The sequence below is a fragment of the Homo sapiens genome, chromosome 2, assembly GCF_000001405.40.
Source record: "Homo sapiens chromosome 2, GRCh38.p14 Primary Assembly".
Lineage (NCBI taxonomy): Eukaryota > Metazoa > Chordata > Mammalia > Primates > Hominidae > Homo > Homo sapiens.
In genome coordinates this window covers 170,195,686-170,218,816 of record NC_000002.12, presented here as the reverse complement: position 1 = coordinate 170,218,816, position 23,131 = coordinate 170,195,686, and the positions used below count along the sequence as shown (strand labels likewise).

Here is a 23,131-nt window from a genome sequence, read left to right as displayed (position 1 = left end):
GATAATTGTATTAATAATAATAATAATGGGAGAAGGAGGAGTAAAAACATAGTCTAGATCATCTGGATGACTATTTGTCACACAGTGTTCATATTATGTTTACTATTAAGTTGGCACCAAGCCAACACAGATGTAACAGTTGGAGATCAAAAGAGGTGCTGTTTGAACAAACAGATTATGCTAGCTGAAATGGAATAAAGTAGTAGGAGAACTGAGTAGCCGCATGGTACGTGGTTGTAGGTGTGCCAGACTGAAAATAACCCATACTATTGTGTCCTGAAACATAAGCACACTGCAAAGGACAATGGAGAGTCACAAAACAGTATCATTTGTCTCATAAAAGTAGAGCTGCTTACTTGAATGTTACTGGCATTGTATAATAGCTTTTTTTCATAATACATTTTTTTCCTTTTGGTTTTATACTTCTGCAAATAAAAATGACAAAGAGTTTATATCTAGTTTTATGTTTTGTAAAACCTATTTAAGAAATATTTAAGATTTAGGTAAACACTGGAAATTGCAGCATTTTTCTTTTTCTTTAAAATGGGCCTATCCATTACCCAGTATGAAAGAAAGAGCCATAGATGATGGGAGGCGGGGGAGGTCACTGAAGAAATTTAAGCAGAGATTAGTGTGAACCACTTACTTTGTTAGGAGACCACTTTGGCAGTCACACAGAGGAAATACCATCATGCAGAGATGGAAAGACATCTAAGGAGGTGACCATCTGAGTCCTTTTATTAAAAGAACCCATTTGTTTAATCCAGAAAGCTGCTCTCAGGCAAAGGTCAGCATACTGTGGAATTAAATGACCTGAAAAACTAAACTGCACTGGTGTTTCAGAGCAAGACTCATCTAGCTGGAAGGTTCCCCAAACTTCTACATGCGTCATTTTCCAGAGAGTTCTGTGATGATGCCAAACCTAAATTAGGAATAAATCCCATGTTTCACTACAGAGAGCCGACAAAGTACACAAGATAAGTTGCTATGTATCTGGTAACAAAAAAACAACCAGGGCCACCGCATATAGTTCTGTAGGCCAGTTGGTGCTGAAATCTGGCTCTTCACAAAGCCATATACCTCTGGGGCTGCATGTATCCAGGGAAGTTGACTTTTTCTAATTTATACAAGGGCTGATGAATTTGCCAAGACATGGCCCTTGGAGGGGGCTGCATCTTCTGGAGGGACACTTTCTTCTAATTGCATGAAGGTGCCCTGTGGGATAGCTATAACTTAATCTTGCTTTTCTGAGGTTACATCTCACCAGCATCGCTGACCAAACTAGTACTCTTAAAGTTCAATGAGGATAATGGACTTTCTTCTCCCTAAAAATTCTGCAAAGCATATGACTTACCCATAAAAAGGCATAGTACCAAGGCATTCAACAAGTGCAAAGAAAGAACTAGGTATTTCCAGCTTACCTCAGGGGCCATCCAGAACGGGGTGCCAACAGATGTGTTTCTCCGCAGACGTGTACTGGTGAGTTGAGCTGAAACACCTATAAGGAAAGAGTATCAGAATTCAAAAGTGAGCAAAGTATGATGCTAGACCAGCAATCGGCAGACTTTTTCCACAAAGGCCAAATAAGTACTTTAGGCTTTGTGGGCCATATGGTCTCTGTCACAACTACTCAGTTCTGCTGCAATAGTACAAAAGCAGCCATAGTAAACACATAAATGAATGAATGTGGCTGCATTCCAATAAAACTTTATTTATAGATGCTGAAATTTGAATTTCATATAATTTTCACGTCACAGAATATTTTGGGTTTTTTTTTTCCAATCATTTAAAAATGTAAAAACCATTCCTAGCTCATAGGCCATATGAAAATAGGAGGTAGGTCATATTTGGCTCACTAGCTGTAGTTGCCAAACTACAACTCTGGAGCATTTATCACTCTATTTAAATCATTAGGATTTTTTTTTTTCCCTAATGGACATCCCTGTCTATATCACTGCAAAAATCAAAAGAAAAATATCAACAACTAGGATCAATCCAAAATATCATCCTATTATATTTCCAAATTATTTCACATGACTTCTTTCTTAATAAGGGGCTTCATTTTATGGAGAAAGAAGATCGGCTGCACTATCTGTAACAGAGCATCAGTGTAGACATAAAAAGATTTCAGTGCCTTATCTTGCCTAGAAGCCTGGAAACCTGGCAAGAAAGCTGTGTTTGTCAAATGGAAAAAGAAAATGACTAATAACATTATCTGGGGCTCAATGTTGGGGACCTGAATTCTAATGTAACTCCAATGTCCTTTAACCAACTGTCTTCTTCATATCACGAGAGCGTAAAGGTCCACAGGATTAAAAATCAATGTTTTCCATCCCAATTATGCTTTTTACTAATTATGTGATTGCTTCACCTTTGAGCCTCAGTTTTTTCATCTTTAAACTAGGGATAATCACAACAGTCACACCTAACACGGAGGGTTCTTCTTAAGACCAAATAGGAGAACAAATGTGAAAATGCTTTATAAATTGCAAAGCATTTTACACACATAAGGTATTCTTTTATACCACACAGAAGTCTCACATAGACCTTAAGAGAATGACAAGGGTTGCCACTAATGTCATTGATGACAAAAACTTAGAAACTGAACACTATGTGTTCTTAGCAAAGGACACACCTTTGAAACATGAGCATAGATTTGCCAAGGATCTGTGGGTTTATTGGGGGATGACTGCGGACATTCTCTTTATTAGAGAGCCAAGAAGCTCTTTAAAGTCTATTTGACCTAGATAATTTCCCATTTTACCAAGTCCTCCACCACAATTTTGGTAAAAACAACTATACCTTTCTGGTTTTAATTTCTAGACATTCCTTTTGCAGCCACTGAAAGTTCAGGAACCTTCTAATGGAAAGATTAGGAACATTTACTCTATGTCAAATCGCAAAGCTGCTGAGTGAATACATCAGTATCAATTCCCACCCCATCCTCATCCTTTCAGTCTGTTTCCCCTCACAACATATTTACAGTCCCCAGAATCACGTGCAAAAACAATTCAAATGTCATACACACAGCATATTATTGGAGTTATATCATTCCTTATAAAGAGGAGCATAAGACTTAAACAAAATGCTCCCTCTGCTATTTTTCTTTGCTTGTGTTTCAGTAAAAATAGACTAGTACGTCTAAACCAACCTCATTTATTTTTAAGTAATTTCTTCTGAGCAAGTGATAAACTGATACATGTTTACACTGAACTCTTTCTTAGCAATAAGACAATAAATATTCTTTTAAAAAAACACGTTTAAAGTGTTTCACTAAATGTTTTCTCATTATTTGTAACAATGACTCTGAAGTACTATTGCTGAACTCATTTAGAAGACTAAACCTTCAATAAACTTAAAAAAAAAACCAAATGGTTTGTTGTTTTGTGAATATCAACATATGATATTACAAGGGGATATTTAATAGTTCTCTGGCCTTAGGTGATATTGCCCTGCATTTCCTCTCACACTTCCATTTCCCGTTAATGTTTCCAGTTCAACCAGCCTCACATGTAGCAGCAGTAAACACAATTTAAAAGGATGTTAGCTCCCAGGCCCAGAGGACTATTTTACCTTCTGCTCCCTGGGAATAAGTATGCCTAAGGCTAGTGAAAGTCATTTGAAAGACCAAACTGCTTTCTCTTTTCATATGCAAAAGAAGAAATGACAAAATGTAAATTATAGACAATTGCCCTGAGATGTGAAATTCTTAGCAGAAAACCGAAAAGTTTTTCCATCAAGTTCTTCTTTTGAAACACTTTTATTTTCAATCTTTATAAAATTGCTTCTAAAGCTGAAACTAGATTAGCAAACAGCATCTCCTAGGGTGATCCATCTGGAGCCCCCACCCCCTCCAGCTTGTGTTTGACTGGAAAAGTCCCTCAGCCTATGGTGTAGCAGAGAAGCCCCAGTCTTCTGAGATTGCAATAAATTGTCCCCTTTGGCTAAACTGCACACGTCAAGAAAACAAACGACAAGCAGTCATTACCAAAGTCAACGAGCTTAACTCCTCCTTCTGTTGTCAGAAGAATGTTATTCCCCTTCACATCACGGTGGATGATTCGGTTGTTGTGCAAATGCTGAAGGCCCTGCATGGCATCCCACCACCACCAAACAACAGGAAAGAGAAAGGGGAAATTTACATGCTTATTTTAAAGCAATTACCCTACTATTGAAAAGTCTCATGAAAGTCTACATTTGGCTACACCTTCCTGCTGTTAGTAATCCTTGCATATCATAGGGCAGTTTCCCCATTGTTAATATGCAATAAGGACCCAAGCAATGAACAAACCATCCCATCTGCTGTCATACCCCATTTGATAGATGTTCTTACCAAGAGGGCCCCGTACAAGATGTATGAGATCATTGCTTCATCCAACCGCTGGCCACATCTGAGTAGACCTTTGACAAGCTCAGTGACTGAGCCCCCATTACACAGCTGCAAGAAGAGGTGCCAGACACAGGGAGAGCAGGAGACCACATGTGAAAAAGAAAAGAAAAAGAAATTAAGAAAAGCCGACTGATACTGATTCAATGTAGTAAATTTGCAGATTACAAAACTCCAGCTTGGAATACTCAGACTTCACATTTCCATTACCCAGTCTAATCTAATTCTTTGCGTATGTATTTTTTATTTGAGGTGATGATTTATGAGTGAAAGTGCATGTTCAAAATGCTAACTTTTTAATTGCCAAATATAAAATAAAAATAAAATATAAAGCACAATTAGAAATTTTTTACAAAGAATATTTTTGGAAAGAAAAAGCATATAAATAATAATGGCAACTTATTGGATATTTTTCACTTTATATGAATATTGTCTATGTTTTTAATGTGCATTTTGAGGATAAGGAAAAACCGGGAGAGGCAAGATGGATGCCCTTGATACCTGAGAGAGAATAAATTTCAGTGATTTCTCCAGTGCTAGCACGTATCAGAAGCCCAACCAGCAGTTCTTCCTAGAACTGCCATTGCAGATAAAGTTTATGGAGTGAAGTTGCATCATAAGTGCATTTATTAACTTTTTAATGTTCAATTTTAGGCTCTCAGCAACTTTATGCTCTTCTCTCTTTTTTGTCTGTAATTAAAAACACTAATTTTATTTTGCATATTTGTTCTTTGTCATATATTGTATCTTAACTGAAGTTTGAGCACATAAAGCAGTTATACTGAGAGAAGAGAGACAGACCCTCTCATATTGTTTTATATTGTTTTATACTCAGAAAAGAAAAGCAAAACAAAAGGCAGGTAGCCCGGTGCCTAGGAACCAGACCCGAAACCAGGCCTGGGCCTGCCTGACCTAAGCCTGGTAGTTAAAGATTGACCCCTGACCTAACCGGATATGTTATCTATAGATTCCAGATATTGTATAGAAAAGACACTGTGAAACTTCCCGGTCTGTTCTGTTTCACTCTGACCACCGGTGCATGCAGCCCCTGTCACGTACCCCCTGCTTGGTCAATCGATCACGACTCTCTCACGCGGACCCCCTTAGAGTTGTGAGCCCTTAAAAGGGACAGGAATTGCTCACTCAGAGAGCTCGGCTCTTGAGACAGGAGTCTTGCCCGATGCTCCCGGCGGAATAAACCACTTCCTTCTTTAACTCGGTGTCTGAGGAGTTTTGTCTGCGGCTTGTCCTGCTACAATACTTTTTCATCAACTTAAGGATTTCCAAAGATGACTCTTACTAATTGCAGAAGTCAACGTGCAGGTTTGGGTTTGCTACAAGCCATCCTAAGTCAAAGGTTCTTAACTGTTTTGAGCAGAGCATGGAAATACCCTGAAATTGTAGGCAGCATGCTGTATATGCATCTTGCAGTTTACTGGGGAGAAAATGCAGAGCTTTCACCAGATTCTAAAAGCTACTGAGATAGCCAAACGCCTAGGCAGATAAAAAGGGGGTCCCCAGAGAATCTCTGACCTGCCCCGCAAGTGTTTACATCAGATGCTTTGTGCAGATTAGGCAACAATTGTGCCCTAGGCTTGTATGGGCATCCCCACAGCAGACTGGAGCCAGACACGAGCACTGGGGGAAATGGGTGGAGCCACGGGGAATTCACGCCTTATGCAGGGAAGTAGCCTGCTCTCTTTAGCTCGTGTGGTGACCTGGGAATCAATCGGTGAGGTAGAGGGCCTGTTAGCAGGACTCCATCTCACTTTGCTGAGTTCTTTCTTTTTTTTCCTTTTCTCCCAATAAATTCCGCTCCTCACCCTTTTATGTGTCTACCAATCTAATCTTTCCTGGTCAAGTGACAAAAACCCCGTTTTGGTGGAACTAAGGAGAAAGTTCTGCAACATTTTTGGCATCCAGGCGTAGGGCTTAAGGAAAGGTGAGTGACATGCAAACCAAAAAGTCTTTTTCCTTTGGCTTCTAAGCCTTTTTGTCCTCCGACTTCTTCTGAGGGTAGAGAAATTATGCCCCCCCATATTAAAATGTCATTCCTGGAGGTCAGGAATGTCGGCTGGACGGGCAAACTGGTGGCTCCCCAGCTCCCAAGTTTCTCTCCCTGTTGGAGAAACTCACTGGCATAAAAATAAGAGATTCTTCCCCCAGACTTTTTTTTTTTTTTTTTTGAGAGGGAGTTTCACTGTTTTTGCCCAGGCTGGAGTGCAGTGGCGCCATCTTGGCTCACCACAAACTCCGCCCCCTGGGTCCAAGCGATTCTCCTGCCTCAGCCTCCAGAGTAGCTGGGATTACAGGTATGCGCCACCACACCCAGCTAATTTTGTATTTTTAGTAGAGACAGGGTTTCTCCATGTTGGTCAGGCTGGTCTTGAACTCCCGACCTCAGGTGATCTGCCAGCCTCGGCCTCCCAAGGTGCTGGGATTACAGGCCTGAGCCACAGAACCCAGCTGGCTTTTTTTTTTTTTTTTAAGAAAACATTTTACCAGGCCAGGACCCCAACTATCAGGGTTTATATTTTCTGTAAAGTTTTAATTATGAAAAAGGATTTGTGAGGTTGGTCTTAAGCTGTAGCCAATCTGGTGTGCTTTGCATGACTTCCTGTATGGCCAACAGCAAACTTTGCTGCAGGCCTCCATCTTGTTTTGTGTGCTTGGGATTGTGACCTGTAACCATGTGGCAATGCTTTTTGTTTTTCATTTCACAATGATGCCTAGGTTCAATCCTGGCTTAGGAAATGAGTACTTTCCAGTTAATATCTGTGTGACTTCTGCCATTTGCTGATTCTCTTCCCCACCATGAACAACGCTTAGCCTTTTTCTTACATCTTCCTTTCACTGGGTTACCTCTAAAGGTTCTAAATTTTGTAAGAATTGCTTACCCTTATCCCCTTCGAAAATACCGCATACGCTCACAGTGAAATAATAACCTTAAGTGAGGCTTGTTGGTTTCACCTGCGAGGTTAACGTTAGTAAAGTTTGAAAGCCAGAAATACTAGCTGCTTGGCATGGCTAAAATCGGGTAATAAGGGAGTTAAAAGGATTTTCTTAGAGAGTGCTCAGTTTAATTAAAAGTGGATGTCCAAGTTATGGTTTATTTAAAAGGCCTTTATGCTTTTTCCTCTTTGGGTATCTTGCTTTGCTGGAAAAAGGCTTTTCCTCAGTTGACTAAATTATTTTTCTCCATTTGGCTTGCCACTCTCAGTGCATGCATGGCAGGCCCTAAGATAACTCCTGGGGCCATGGGACTCCTTGGGAAAAACAGACAAGGCACCACTCCGTTTTGGGAAGAAACCTGTTTTTCTCATGGAACCCCAGGAATTAAAAGTGGATAGATCCCTCTCAAACTCTGATTTTGCCTCCCAGTCATGCCTGTTTATTAGGCCTTAAAAGCTGCATGTTTTCCTAGCCCTGTCTCTTAAAGGGCCCCACCCAGAGGCCAATAATCCAAATAGGAGATGGGCAAATGAAAATCTTATGGCTGCTGGTTTTCTTCTGCCTGTCTGTGTAGTTACATATGTGTTGTGTGTGTGATGTCTATAAAAAAGCTCTAATTAATTGGTCTAATGGAAGACAAGTGCTTGGATCAAATTTTTTTTAAAGGGAAGATTAAAGCTGTGGTACGTTTTAGTTCATGTGACTTTAATCTTTGAGAAATAAAAACAGCCTTAAAGATTATTGGTAAAATGCAGATGTTGTCAAATATACACAGGTGAACTAAATTATGCAGGTCAGATACTAGGTTTGCTAAATGTTTTAAGGTTATAAACTGCCTTTTTGGTTTTTAAGAACTTTTCAACTTGCCAGCTTGACAATTAGTAAGGCCTGGGGACATAAGGAATTAACCACACCCTTAATTATGTTGGAAGGAGTCAAACCTTGCCTGAACCTAGCACATAATTAAAACAACTTACCAGGTTTTACATTAAACTTAAAATTGCTAGGGGTTACCATTATAACATGTAATTGAAACTACTGGAAATAGATTTACACGCAAGGTATGTAGGAACAGTAAGATGTGTTTTTAGTAAAAGATTACAAGAAGGCATGGAAATGTAAATTCTTGCCTAGGTTTAAAGGACTGTTTTGAATTAGATAAAATAAAGCTGACAGTTTAAACAAATGATGGAAGGACTGTAAAAATTAATATTGCAAAAATTCAGTGTGTGAACAGATTGACTAAATTCAAAAGGGTATTATATAGTTTTTTTGTAAATTGAGCATTGAAATAAAAGCACAACAAGGTACTCTTAAGGCACTAATCTGCTCTTTAGCAAAATTTGTAAAGGGTTATAAAAGGTTTTTGCTTTTTTAAATTTCTGAGTCATCGTTTGGCAAAATAAATAACTTTTGGTAATCTGGAATTCTATTTCAGTGTTTTAAACCACTAACATATTTAATAGGCTTCCCAAAATCAAACTTCAGTTTCAAAATTGCCTTTCCTGACACCTAGCTTTTGGATGCTACAGAGGGCCCTGGAGTATCCAAAAGAGAGGTAAAAGGGATCATTTGACATGTTTAGTTACATGGAATTGCCAAAATGGTGTTCAATATTATTTAGGTTATATTTTGATGAATAATATTAATATGTGTTCCAAAATTGTATGGGATTTTTAAAATTCTAATGTCTAATGTATATGCTATCATCATAATTAAGGTTGTTATGTTATTGTAAACCAGACTTCTTTGAGAAGAAGAGAGATAACCAAACTTCTTTGTCAATTGTGTTTCTAACTGTAAATACCCTGGGCAATTTTTTTATTCCCAACAATTGTTGTCTTGTTTTGGTCCTTTTCAAAAGATAGTTTATAATAAACCAGACTCTGACAGGTGCCACAGGACTCTGACAGGTGCTCTCAAATACAGGTTTCTGATAACTTTGGAGATTGTGACATTGGAAAAAAGGAAAAATGTACAGGACTCATAAAGAGCTGAAATGTTCATGAATATCAAACAAGAGTTAACTAAATGGACCGAACTCATAGAAAACTGAAGCTATCTTTTTGACTTTTGCTTGGAATATTGCTGACCCTTGTTTTGTTTTTCAGAGTCAAGGAAACTTATTTTGAACTATTTATGGCCTTTAATGATTAAGGTATACTCCTGTGAACAAAATTTGGAGCATATATGTCCCTCTCTGCCTGGCTTCCCCAGAATTTGGAAACTAGTTGTGAGTATTCTTAACTTACAGCAATGTAGTTGTTTGCATCAGTGCCATAAGAATCCATTTTCTTTTGCAGTATGATGCAATTGGAGAAACTGTTTTACCAAGGCTTTGACTGGAAGGGTATGCTTCCCTTTAAGGAGTCAAGCTCGACTTGCAGAGCTGCTAAAAGCCCCTTGGGAAAACTGGCCTTATCTACGCAGTACCTGTATAGGGTTCCTGACCTGTAGTAAGTAAAAAATGTTACTTTATGACAGGACCAGGAGCTCTAAGTTTATCTTGGGACCTTAAAAGGAGAGGATCACCCAACTCACAGGTATTTGAGGATACAAACCCATGGCTGTGCTCAGCTTTAAAAGGTCTTATCCGAAATTCCTTGAGGAACAGAGTTCCATCAAAGCCAATCTAAAAGGCCTATGTAGAAACAATTATTCTTGCTGCACTTTATGCAAATAATCAGGTCAAGTGTAAGACTAAAGTCTATTTTGCCAGCAACTCAGTCCTGATTTTTTTTTAACAAAAAAATGAGGGACTGGAGATAGAGAAATTATGTTTTAAAACTTACCATACATTTGTCATTAAATTCTAGACTCATTAGTTGTTTTTAAGTTTTTGCCTACCCTTTAGACTAACCCTGCTTGTTCCTGTGAACCAACCAGGAATCTCCAGCTGCAGCTTAGAAAGAATAAAAGGGATAGGTGATGTAAAAACCTGGATCAAAATTCTAGTTCTGAGCAATTATCCTGCAAATACTGCCAGGTGATGGGAATAAATAGGATATAAATAGGGTGCCCATCACCCAGAGTTTTCTTCTGGGGAAAGTAAGACCAAGGGAGCTAACCAAAGCCAAGCCCCATGCACCTACATCTTAGCAAGCATAACTATAGCCACCAGTTATCTGGGCATGTCACAAGACATCCTTTTCTCTCCCTTGTTGGAGGAGGACTCAATTCCACAGCTTCACCTTAGCATTTGGCTTATGATAAGGAGTCCATGCAACACCCCTTCTCCGAGGCACATTTTTGTCCCAAACTCAATTCCAAGCTTCAGGTCAAAGCCCTAGGAAAGAAAACTGGATTTGAGGGATCCAGAGGTAGATGATAATGGAAGTTAAAAGGCATAGCACAGGTGAGCATGACTGGTTTCCTGCCAGTTAAGCCAGGCTTCCCATTTCATGGATAAAGGTCATGATACTACCCGTGGCATAAATGAGGTCTAGAGAATTCAAAGGCTACTGACAGCAGAGGAGATAGGGCATACGTGGGTAAGAGTGGATACTCCCACCCCCAGACTCCCTTTTAACAAGGGTGAAAGCCGCTTTGACTCCATGGGCAGTACCCTGTCACAGTCACTGGAACTTGGGGATACAAGGATGGAGGAAAAGAAAGAGGAATGACTCACTTTCTCTCCCTCATGTACCCCAGGTATTTGCTAGGAAGAGAAGGGAACCAGGGATGCCTTGCTCTCCTCTTTCTAGATGAGTAGCCATTCATCTTCAGTCTGTACCCCTTTTGAGTGCATCCTGAACCCCTGGGATGCACTTTAGACTAATCCTTTGAGAAAAAAAAAAGCCTTTTTTTTTTTCTTTCTCTTCCTCTCTTCACTGATAGGTAATTGTCTCTCTGTACTATGGGACACTCCCCTCAGATGCATCCTCCAAACTAGGAACAGTTAATTTCCCAAACCTTAGACTGGTTGGCTTAGGATTGCGCTCAGGGGAAGGGAACCCAAAAGCCTGACACGATGGCAGAAAGGTAAAAGTTTTTTACCAGTTGGGCTTTTGGCCTCCCTCTTCCTGTGCAAACATAAAAGGCCTCAAGACTTTTGAGCTATCCCCACCCCCTGCCCCCATTTTGTTTTAATACATGTTTTCTAATAACCCAGTTTGTCTCTTTCTCACCTTCATGACATCAAACTCCAAATGGTCATGCAACTGGAGCCTCGGATGATGGCCCCTTTGGCCAGCAACCCTTAGATAGGCCTCTGAGGGAGATCTGACTGTTTTCCCCTAACTGGAGTTAGGGGAGATTAAGAGGACAAGATTAGAATGAGGATGCTCCCTCTGGGAGGGGGGTGTCTGTGTAAGCGGGTAATGATAATAGAAATTTCAGTTTCTTATGATCCTCTTCCCATTTGGAAATCTAAGAGGAGACCTCTTGATAACAAGGGGTGTCTGTGTCAAGTGAAATGAAAGTATGGCATGGTGAGGTAGACCATGCTTGAGATTACAATAACAGTTTTCTACAATCTGCTCACAACTTGTAAGACACTCAGAACTTCATGCTCTATTTGGGGACAGGGATAAGGTTAGAGTTTAAATAAGGACAAAGGACATGAGGACCTCATGATAGGAGGGAGTGTCAGAGACCAGGAACATCAAAGATACCAAAGGGAGAAAATACAGTTTTATTATCACAAGGACTTTGTGGTTACAATACAGTTCCGAAGCCTCTGCCCTCACTACCATGGCATTATGTAAGCATCTACTTGTACCCAGATCCAGATGCCACCCAGGGAAAAGGGAGAGGGAAGAGGGAGAGAAGAGGCCCTAAAAAACTGAGTACGTACCCAAATGACTAAGCCTTGAACTGGACAGTGAAAATTGGATATAAATACTGGAATATGCCACTCCACAAAGTCACTCAACTGGACTTAAGTTTAACAAAATGGGTTAGAATCAGTTGCCTCCTTTAGTCAGGCTGGGGGCTCAAGAACCCAGTTTAGTTCAGTTATTGAGAAGAAAGGCACCTCTTTGTTATCAATAGTTTATGACTGTCTGGTTTATTACCTATTACTCAATCATGAATATGACACAATCTCTAGCCTCAAAGAGGTCACTGCCCAGTAATGGACATACGAGTAATTATAGTGTGGAATGTGGAAGCAGAGCTGTGCCTAAGGAAGTGTGGTGGCACCAAAGAAGGAAGGGTGAACTCTGCTGAGGGAGGGCAAAGAGGGGACAGTCTAGGAAAACTTCCCAGAGGATGTAACATTTACAATGAGTTTGAAGGACAAATGGGTTTGGGGCAGGTGGACATGAAGGGAAAGAAGATTCTGTGAAAAGGAACATGGGGACATCTTGTGCAAATGTAGGGGGCATGAAAGAATGAGGGGGAATGTGCATGTGAGGGTACATGTGTGTGATGAGTTCTAAATACTCTACTACTGTTGGGACAAAGGATGCCAGAATCCTGGGGCAGGGAGATGGAGGAGGAAGGCCAATGACAGGGAATGACAGGTATGCCCTGCTAAGGAGTATGGGCTTTATTATAATATACTATGTATACTACCCATATAATATATATCCATATACTACGCATATAATATATACCTGTATACTACCCATATAATATTCTATGTATATTATAATACCATGATATATCACTAGATAAAAAAGGGAAACTATTAACAGATTTTAGGCAGGAGGTCTCAATGTTCAGACTGGCATTCTAGAAAAATGATTTGGTCAGCAGATGGAGGATGGACAGAAGACAACACTAGGAGCTGGAGTATCCATTGGAAGATATTGACGTAATCAAGAGAGGCAGGGTCAAGAAGTCATGAGGATAAAAGGGAGGGAGAGATTTGGGAGACTTTTTTTGAGATAGAAATGACAGGAATTTCTGACCAGCCACATGTGAAAGGTGAAGAAGAGACAGAGTCTAGGGAAACTGTGAGAATTAGGAAAATATCAATAGTCTTTGCTCCTCTAAAGGAAAGGCAGTAATAGGGATGCAAAGCACAACAGAACCTTCATCAGGACCACTCCCCACCCTGGCTCACATCTCAGGGAGGCACAGGCTTTCTTGCATTGCAAGCATGCTATTAAAATTCTACTGAGAGAAATTTTAAATTAAATGCTGGGTGATGATCCCAGAAAATGCAACCCTGGAATTTTCCCCTGACACCTCATTTTGGTCTCTCTCCCTGCCCTACTTTAAGTGTGGCCATTTTTGCAACAAAGGCCTCTTCAGCAATATTTTATATAGGTAGCCAACTTATAAACTTTATTTGTAACTCTAGAACTTATGAAGGGATTAAGAGTAGCTATTTGTCAGCAGGATCAAAACTCAGCTATGGATTTAAAAACAACAAAGGAATCTTACCCAGCCAGTGCTTTTTGTTCACTAAATGTCAGAGTATAAGAGCTGTCTGACTTCCCAGAACTCACAGAAACATATAATTAAACTGCTCAGGACACTTTTAAAGGAAGCTGTCCTGTGAAGTTGATAAGCCCACCAGCAAGGTTTTCAAGGGCAGCCTATGGGTTATAGAAAAAAGACTGGGCACTTGGATATAAAAAAAAGAAATCAGGTGTACACTGACAATTGTCTAATCAGAATAAATGTTCAGTGAAATGGGTTGAACATTTTAAAAGCATAACAAAGAATTATATTTAAATGCACCAAGTAAAATAATCCCTTTAGAATTGTAAGAAGGCAACCAAGCCTCCCACCCCAGCCCTGAGGGTTGACATATCAGCCCTTTATTCCCGCCCACTCTGCCAGCCACCAGATTCAAATACAGAAGTGTGTTTTCATTCCTGCAGTTCCTCCCTACGCCCTCAGCATTCAGGAAATGTGGTAGCTGAATGCATCTAGAATTTAATGAGCATTTTGCTCCAAACCAAGAAAAATAGAAAAATCATTTACATTCCACATCTATTTTCCAAAACGTCATTGAATATTGATTCAATCACAGTATGTGCATTTGCTAAGACAGTCATCATTTCAAGCAATAAAATGTTCCTTGCTCAATAAGCCATCAACTTTCTTCCACATTATTAAAGAATGGCCCATGCAACACAATCACCAGACCTAGGCTCCAACGTTCAAGTAGCTTCTATACTAGCTTGCTGCTTTGACATAGTCAGTTTGCAGAATTAAGAGGAATTTCTTTTTGGTGCCCCTTTGTTCAGTAGACTTTGTCTTTTAAGGGTGTTGGGTTCTACAGATAACATAAAGGAAAAGTCAAAGACAGTCAAAATTACTTCAGAAAATCCCTTAGGAAGTATCATGTTGGACACTGTCCGCCTCTCAGTAATTCCAGAACAGCACATTTTTTCCTCTGGTGTTGGACGAATCATGTTTATTTTAATGAAAGCCAGCAAAAGTCACTGGCTTGCCACAAGACCAGTGAAAACTATGTCACTTGAAACCCTAGAGTTTCTATCAGAGTGGAGAGATGCTCATACAATGAGAGGGAAGTGGGCCCTGAGAGTGACCTCCCATCTCATTCTCTTCCTGGGGCACATCCTTATTGAATAGAGCCAAGAGTGGGAAGAATCACTCCCAGTCCTCAGCCTCTTAACTCTCTCTCTTTTGTTGAACACATATAGTATATGTTTGTGGGATGTAATGCTGTTCCATTTCAAAGTTCTTCCCTTCTCCAGTCTCAAGTTTTCTGTGCCTTCATCCAGGCTCCCAGCATTCCAGTGTCTCTCACTCTAGAACCCACTGAGTCAGTGTTCAATGCTGCAGTACTTTCTAACCACTTCTGGTCAATCAAAATCCACCAGTCCCACATTTGAGTCCGTCAGAGTATGACTAAGACCCTGATTTGTTAACCTGATAAACTTAATTCATGCCACAGTATCAACAAAATGGTTTGATGTGTAACACTTCCAGTGATATTCAGGTCTAGATTATACTTTCTAGGGCCTTGGATAAAAGCAAAATCTGGACAAAGGTCCATCGGTCTGTCGGTCTCTCTGTCTGCTGTCTCTCTTTCTCCCTCCCTCCCTCCCCCCCCCGCCGCCCCCTTTTGCTTTGGCTCTACATATTAGATACTGAACTTATACCGAGATCTCTGAAGGGAAAAAAAAGATGTAAAACTAATTCTCATACATGGTTTAAAGGACAAAGTTGTTTGTTTTACTTTCCAGCCTCATTTACCAGTACTCCAAACCATTTCTTTTAAGTAGAACACTTGATTCATGCAGAAATTAAGTTTCTACCTGCCAAAGATTTTACACTAAAAGGAAAAAGAAAATATAGTTCATGCTTTAGCTACCACATGTTAGGTATTTTTTCTGAGCATCATGTTTTTCTTAAAGGTCTAATTTATTAATATGTATATCATCTAGGTGAAAGGCGGACTTATAGATTTTTAAAAATTTAATATTCACTTAAAATGCATTCACAGATTTTCCAAAACACTATTATGTGTGTGTATTTTCTCTCCATATCTTTCCAATATAGTAGGTGTGTATCATGAAAGAGAGCTTTTGTTTGCTTTCTACTAACAATTAGTAATGAATTTCAGAAAATGACATTTTTATTTGCTTTGTTTTCAGAGTTGTCGTGATTTAAGGGGATTATTAATAACATTTTTCTATCCTCTAGAATTGCTCTGTGGAATAGCTTCTCACTCGTCCTTTCATCAGTCAGGCAAATAAAGAGCAAAGGCAACATAAATTTATTCTTAATATGCAAGATGAGGAGAACAGTATTAAACAGATAATTTTTTTGTGTGAGTCCCCTAAAGCATGCCTTAAAAAGCTGCAGAGAGAACAAAATAGGGTACTATGTGGACCATCATTGTCATCCAGCTCTGTGTGTGTGGTCAGGAAGTGCTACGATCCCAGTGAGAGACTTCACATCTGTGTTTCCATGACCCAATGGATAACATCAGAGGAGCAGCTGCACATGGTGAAAGAAAATGTGCTGAAATATGCTTTTCCTTCCAGTTCTGCCATACAACCAATTATGTGACCATAGGCATGTTACTCACTTCTGTGGGCCTCTGTCCCTCATCTGAAGGCTAGGGGACTGAAGAGAGAGGCTTCTGCCAGTATTAGGAGTCTAGGAATTCCTGTGTTTCCCTAAGACTATTGGAGGCACTGAATGCACATGACCATGTAGCAGCCTGGTTTAGACTGCCCATCCTGGGACAGAAAAGACTGAGGACACCCAGTATCTCATATCACCCACTTTGGCATGGACCAAAACAACCAGCAAAAGTCATAAATGACAGCATATTGTATTGCAGAGGTATGAATAATTCAGTGTCTCAGGGCAGCTTCATTACTGTGGTCACCCTGAAAAAGCTAGAAACAGGTGGCAAGGGAGCACCTGCGCAAGGCTCAGCTCATAGTTCTGGGCTCTTTCTCATCTTTCAAGTCCATGTGCTACTTCCTGGCTGCTTTGGCCATACCTGAGTTGCCATGTCTGAGGGTCACTCCTCATCAGGAAGGATGTTCATTCACCAGGTGGCCTCAGGTATGAGCAGCCCACCTGCCTGCCTGGTTGCATGGAGGGAAGGCTCCTTTTTAGGCCCTCGAAAATTCCTGAAAGTTTCAGTTCTCTATGTCTGATATGAGCCTTTTTTAGTCAGGAGTTAAAAATAAGCAGAAACTGAGGTTTCTTGGTCACTGTACTTCCATTACTAAGTTACAACGAGGTTTAAAACACAGAGATCTTACAGAGCTGAAGACAAATATAATCAGAGACCCCAGGAACAGTACTTTATCATTTCCAAATAGCATTGTTAAACAGCTTCATTGGCAAGATAAAATCCTAATATTCTTGGGGTGGGGGTGGGGGAGTTAATAAAACCCCAAAGAAGTGTGTTATATGACTTAACCAGTCAACTAAAGGAACAAAGATAATTAGAAAACCAAAATCCCTTACATCTTATATATTCTGAGGAAGGCAACTGATGTGACAGAAATAAATTCAAACCAGTTTCCCTGCAGATTATCCCATTTGAATATAACAAATGAATTCCCCAAACATGGTTGCCATGGCAGCCAGTACTTATTGTCCCAGGCTCAGGCCCTCCCAGAGCCAGAAACATGTGGACAAGAGGTACCAGACAGTGAAGTGAGGGCTGGTTTCTCCCCTGGTGCTTCTCTCTTAAGGCTTCCACTTGTGTCCACACTGTGCTGGGTCACCTACGTGACCTCAGACATGGAGACATGAGCTGGTTCAGAAGGTCAGAGCCCAGAATAAAACAGTGTAGGCCTAGTGAGAATGTGGCGATAGACCTGTCCTAATATATTAATTCATATACTGTCATTATTTTCCTTGTCATTTTAGCCTCATAGGGAATCGTATTTGTTCGGAATTGACTCTTTTGCACCCAGATGCACACATTCATTCCCATTAATAACTGAAAACTGACTCTGAGAATTGTGTATGGAAGGATTGTTGGAGAAAAAAATGCAGGACTATAGTGGATACAGTGTTGTTCCCTTCAGATTCCCTCTTCACAGTGGATGCTGCTAGAAACAGGAACAGCTCCCAGCCCTCAGCTGCACCCCTCACCCAAGTTGGCTTCCACTTCAGAGAACTGACTCCCCCAAAGTCACGCTCCTTCGCAGGGATGGCATGCAGGCAATGATTGGCTGATGTGGAGATACAATTCAGGACAACATTCCAAAAACTGCCCAGCTCTCCATTTCCCAGAGGACCAGCTTAGGTCTCTGTTATGACCATATTGCTGTTCAGTGTCTCCCTTGCCTGATCCTGCCTTCCTCACTTTTTTCTAGGTCTACCTCCGCTAAGAACTCTGCAACAAACTTTCCATACACAATTCTCAGAGTCAGTTTTCAGGAAACCCAATCTAAAATGAGGACTAATGAACATGAGTGGGCAAATCCAAACTTGGCAAGCCAAGTAAACCTTGGGTTAACAATTTTTGAAAATGAGTTGCAATCAATTCAAACATGTTTACAATTAAATGTTAGGGAAGAAAATTAATGTTTTCAATTATATTCCTATATTCACCCTGTACTAGAATAAAAGATTATTAAACCTCTGAAGCAGAGAAACAAAAATATTTTTAGCATAAGGCCTACCTGTAAGAACTGTGGAGGAGAATGTCACATCTGGTGAGGTACCTGTGACATGCAGGAGGGACCTACTCCTCAAATGTGTACCTTAAAACACCCTCTAGGTAATAAAGCATCTGTTGGCCTCTGGCACTCTGTTCAAATCACTGGTTACCCAATGGGAGCCTCTTACCTCCAGGACCAGCCACAGCTGTCCCCCTACACAGTGATCCGCTTTGTAAAACATCCCATAAAACTTTACAACATTGGGATGATTAGGAAGGAACTGCAAAATGTTGTATTCTGCCTCAATTTCTTCATCCATATCCTAAACAGGGTAGAAAAATGCAAGCTGGATTAAATCTAATGTGTAAGGAAGGGTACAGATATGACATCATGCTCAAGTACTTAGTAAAACATATGTACTATGTATTTTCAATCTCATTACCATACCTTCAAAATATCTAACAATGGACATTCAGATATCAATCTACACCTTCTAGTATTACATTATTACATTCTAATATTACAACCTACACCTTCTATTATTACATAATTATATCAATAATGTTTATGATATTTTTTCTTTAATAATACTATCATAAATATCTTTTTTATTGAAAAGTGTCTGAATTTTCAAAGCAGTTATGGAGAACTTGCTTGAAGGGACCTATCACAGGATAGGACATGTAAAACCTCACTGTGCAAAACAGCATACAGCATTATAACCCCGGTGCTCTAAAATAAGATGTCAGCGTAAGATGATTGAATATCACAAGTCTGGGTCACTTTGTAACTTACAGAAAGACCAGGTAGTAAAATATATTACTCTTTCCAAGAGAATAACTTTTGAAGATCCCAGTGGTCCCAAACCAACACAACAGTAAAATGGACAAGAAACAAAAGTCAAGGGAAGCTTTAACTCCAAGTGGAGTCCCTTCATTCAGAGAAGCTGACAAATCATGACCCATTTTGAGATTTCATACCAGGTTTCATGAAAATTAAACCTAAAATCAAGAAAAGAAGTTGAAAACTCAGTGTGCATAAAACACCAAATTCTGGTTATAATTTACAACTGTTACTTACACTGACTGGATCCAGAATTTTCACTGCAGCCAGGCTCCCATCTCTCTTGTTAGTTACCTTGTAGACTTTGCCATAGGTGCCTTTACCAATGGTCTCTATAATTTCCCAGGTGTCTGTGGGATCTGGAAGTGATTCAAGTCCAAGCATCATAGGATTATAGTGAAATAATCCATACAGATGTTTCCTGGTTGGGGGAAAAATTTGTTATGTGCAACAGATCACAGAACTGGGGGCAGTGGACTTTTGAAACAAAAAGATTTTTATTTCTTAACCAGCAACCTCATGTTACTTTTTATTTTCTTCCTCTATTGTAAATAAATTTTTTGAAAAAGAACTTGGACCCTCCTTAAGAAATGGTAATAAAAGATAGAGTGGAGGAGTAACATGGCTCTGAAACATCCTAAAAACATGATTCTAAAAATGGAAATTATGTACACACCACAGGAGAGAGTAAAACAGCCAAAGAGGATGTTCTGGTCATGATTGGACAGTTGTCTTGATAGGCTGCTGAATGGTGGCTGCTGCCAGGGAAAGTGGCTGAAAACTGTTAAGTCTAACATCTTTGTCCCTAGGTTATGGTAACCTTCATGAGGGCTCCCTGATAGACACTGGGAGCTAATCCCCAACATCAGTGTACTACCAGGCATTTGACTCATATTTCTTCTTTTTTATCCTCGCTCTATGTTAGATAACTTGAGTGAAAAGAAGTAAATTTAAAGCACCCACACTCATATTGTCAGAAATTCACCTTCCCAATCTACTTCTTGCTTACTGAAATATAGTCAGTCCCACAATATGGCTGATGTCCCAGCCCAAACAGCTGTAGTTACGCAAAACTACTGAACTGCTGAATGGTAGAAGGAAAATCAATAGTCAGAAGAATACAAATGACTTTCTTCTTCTAGTCCAATTCTTGTTCCTTCCTCCTGAAGGAGGAAAACAGAAAGAATATCAACATGCAGAAACTGAGATGAACAAAACCACTCATCACTACAAAGCTCTGTGATCTTTCTCATCTTGTCCCTGAAAAGAAACTGCCCATTGGCAGGAAGCTATGTCTGCCCAAGTGTAAACAGAGTCACATAAAAGAAGAGAGAAATACGCATTAACTAGCTGGGTGGACTGCCCTTAAGCAGCCAGTGAAAGGCCTGGAGGGAAAATGAAGAATAGTGTAAAGTGGGCCTTGACGTTAGCAATGAAAGGAATCAAAAATGAAATTTCACATGGTGCCCTTAAAACTGATGTGTTTAGTGAAGAAGGGAAAAAAAAAAAAAAAAAACCCAAAGGAGAAAGGTGCTCCTGATAAATTTCTGATCATTCACCCATATCTTTTCAGAGGCCCTAGGAGCTTATTTCCCACATTAGGTCAAAAGCAATAGATGGACTCAATTCTTCAGGGTTGCAGTGAGCACTAAACATGCTCAGTCTGACGTGTGGCTGATTCGCCCATGTCTTACTGCACATTCCTTGCTGCTTTGCCCATCCCCTCTTAAGATTAATCAGAAATGATACTTTTTTCAAGGTGATTGTACACCATCTACCCTTCTTTCAATAACAGGTCATAAATTAGCCAAAATTACCATAAAATGTTATTTATGCATTCAGTAAATAGTTAATAAATTCCAATCCCATTCAAGCTACACTAGATTCTACAAGAAATATGAGGAGGAAGAAGAAACTGAGCTCTGCTCTGGAGGTTCCGAATTTGTTTCAAAAATTTTTATGACTTCTGGGGTGAGATGGCAAAGTGAAGTCAAGTATCTCCTTTCCCTAAAACTGAATGAATGAACAACACTAAAATGGAAACTTGAAATCCAGCAAACAAATCAAAATATACCAGCAATAATCAAACAAAAGAAGGGATATAACTTCACGCCATAATCTTTGAAGAGTAGCATTCAGTGAAAATGAGAGAAGATCCCAAGAATCACTGCTCAAGCAGTTCACTCTCTTCTCCCAGAGTGTGATGGGATTTGCCAAATGGTGAAGGAACAAAATATTGAAAAATCTCAGCAACATTCCCTGTAACTGCCTGATGGGTTCTTCCTGCCTACTGCACAAACAAAATCAATTCATGGCATTGCAGTAAAGAAAGTTTGAAATGAGGCTGGCCACACCATGTGGGAGATGGAGTTATTACTCAAATCAATCTCCTTGAAAGCTTGAAGGTTAGGGGTTTTTCAAAGGCAGTTTGAAGAAACGGGTGGGAGTGGCGAGGCACTGGGCACTTGCTGCTGATTGGTTGGGTCAGAGATAAAATCACAGGGAGTTGAAGCTGTCCTCTTGCTCTGAGTTGCTGCTGGGTGGGGCCACAGGAGAAGTTGGCCATCCAGGTGGAGCCAGGTGTCAGACATGTTTAAAAAAAAAAAAAAACCTGAAAAGATATCTCAAAAGACCGATCCTAGGTTCAAAAATAGTGATGTTATCTGCAGGAGTAATTGGGGAAGTTGCATGTCTTGTGACCTCTGAAACAATGGCTACCAATCAGGTATATCTACACCTTAGCAGAATTCAGGCTCCTCTCCTTCTCCTAGCCTGGTGCTCTCTCATTAGCTTTGCAAAGGCAGCTGAGTTTTGGGGAAGGGCTATTATCATTTAAACTATAAACTAAATGTCTCCTAAAGTTAACCCAGGAATAACTGAAGGCAGCTTGAAGGCTAACAGCACTAGAGGGGTTAGCTAGATCAAATCTTCCCCACTGCCATAATTTTCTCACTGATATAATTTTTGCAAAGGCAGTTTCATCTTTACTTAGAGAAAAATGGACAGAGAAGGAAAGACAGCAGCAGAAAATGAGTCTAGGTTCATTCACTTATACATTCAGTAAGGATTTATTAAGAACTTTTTACATGTATTACTCAACACTAGGCTTTTTTGAGACAGGCTCTCACTCTGTCACCCAGGCTGTAGTGCAGTGGTGTGATCACCACCCCCTGTAGCCTCAACCTCCTGGGCTCAAGCAATCATATCTCAGCCTCCCAAGTATTAATAGATGGGACCACAAGCATGTGCTACCACACCCAGCTAATTTTTTTGGTGGGGTGGAGAGTAAAGACAGGGTCTTGCCGTGTTGCCCACGCTAGTCTCAAACTCCTGGGCTACAGTGATCCTCCTGACTCAGCTTCCCAAAGTGCTAGGATTACAGACATGAGCCACCACATCTGGCCAATACTAGGCTCTTAAAAGGAAGTAGGAGAAATAATCAGGCTCTATTCTAAAATGAGGAACATTTCCAAAGCTATGCTGTAGGAGTTGCCTCCTATCAGGTGGAATGACCCTAATATGCACATTAAATGACATTTCAGAAAGAAGAGTAAAGCTCATATCCATCAATTGTGGCTGCCCCTAACACTCAGAAACCCACAAATCTGAGGGAAAAATGAACAACTCTCAGAAAAACAAATATTTCTGTTAAAATTACTGAACATCAAGGTAGAGAAACAAATTTTTAGGTATATGTGTGATGGTTAATATTGAGTGTCAACTTGCTTGGATTAAAAGATCCAAATTATTGTTCCTGGTGAAATGGCAGAGTTCCCTGACCCCTCTCATAGGACATGCTGCAGGGGTGTGGCTTGACTGTTTGGCTGTGTGTCTGCTCAAACTCCTTATGGGAGGGGGAGCACATAGACAGGCAGGTGCAGGATCTGGGGTGAGCGCCTTGGGGGCTCCAGACTCATGCTAGCATCTAGAGGTGGGTACCTAA

The 23,131-nt window shown here is 40.1% G+C and overlaps 1 protein-coding gene across 8 annotated transcripts in view, besides 2 other annotated features; it reads right to left on the bottom strand.

Annotated features, from left to right (window-relative positions):
• MYO3B (myosin IIIB) overlaps positions 1–23,131 on the bottom strand; it is a 477,021-nt gene that overhangs the window by 436,351 nt on the left and 17,539 nt on the right. For all 8 annotated transcript variants that reach the window (NR_045682.2, NR_045683.2, NR_045684.2 and 5 more), the window contains exons 2-6: positions 19,426–19,609; positions 18,533–18,667; positions 4,334–4,438; positions 3,989–4,088; positions 1,422–1,498 (exon numbers count right to left, since the gene is read on the bottom strand). Coding sequence is in view for 5 of the 8 variants with exons in the window: in NM_138995.5 (NP_620482.3) it covers positions 1,422–1,498; positions 3,989–4,088; positions 4,334–4,438; positions 18,533–18,667; positions 19,426–19,609 (601 nt within the window). In the remaining 3 variants the exon portion in view is untranslated. The remainder of the gene's footprint in view (positions 1–1,421; positions 1,499–3,988; positions 4,089–4,333; positions 4,439–18,532; positions 18,668–19,425; positions 19,610–23,131) is intronic.
• Positions 3,321–4,012: an enhancer, noted in NCBI's record as "OCT4-NANOG-H3K27ac hESC enhancer chr2:171071315-171072006 (GRCh37/hg19 assembly coordinates)". NCBI's record gives its function as "activates a minimal SCP1, AML or CMV promoter by ChIP-STARR-seq in naive H9 embryonic stem cells {active_cell/tissue: H9 hESC(naive)}" and the evidence as "EXISTENCE:reporter gene assay evidence [ECO:0000049][PMID:30033119]".
• Positions 4,013–4,704: an enhancer, noted in NCBI's record as "OCT4-NANOG-H3K27ac hESC enhancer chr2:171070623-171071314 (GRCh37/hg19 assembly coordinates)". NCBI's record gives its function as "activates a minimal SCP1, AML or CMV promoter by ChIP-STARR-seq in naive and primed H9 embryonic stem cells {active_cell/tissue: H9 hESC(naive and primed)}" and the evidence as "EXISTENCE:reporter gene assay evidence [ECO:0000049][PMID:30033119]".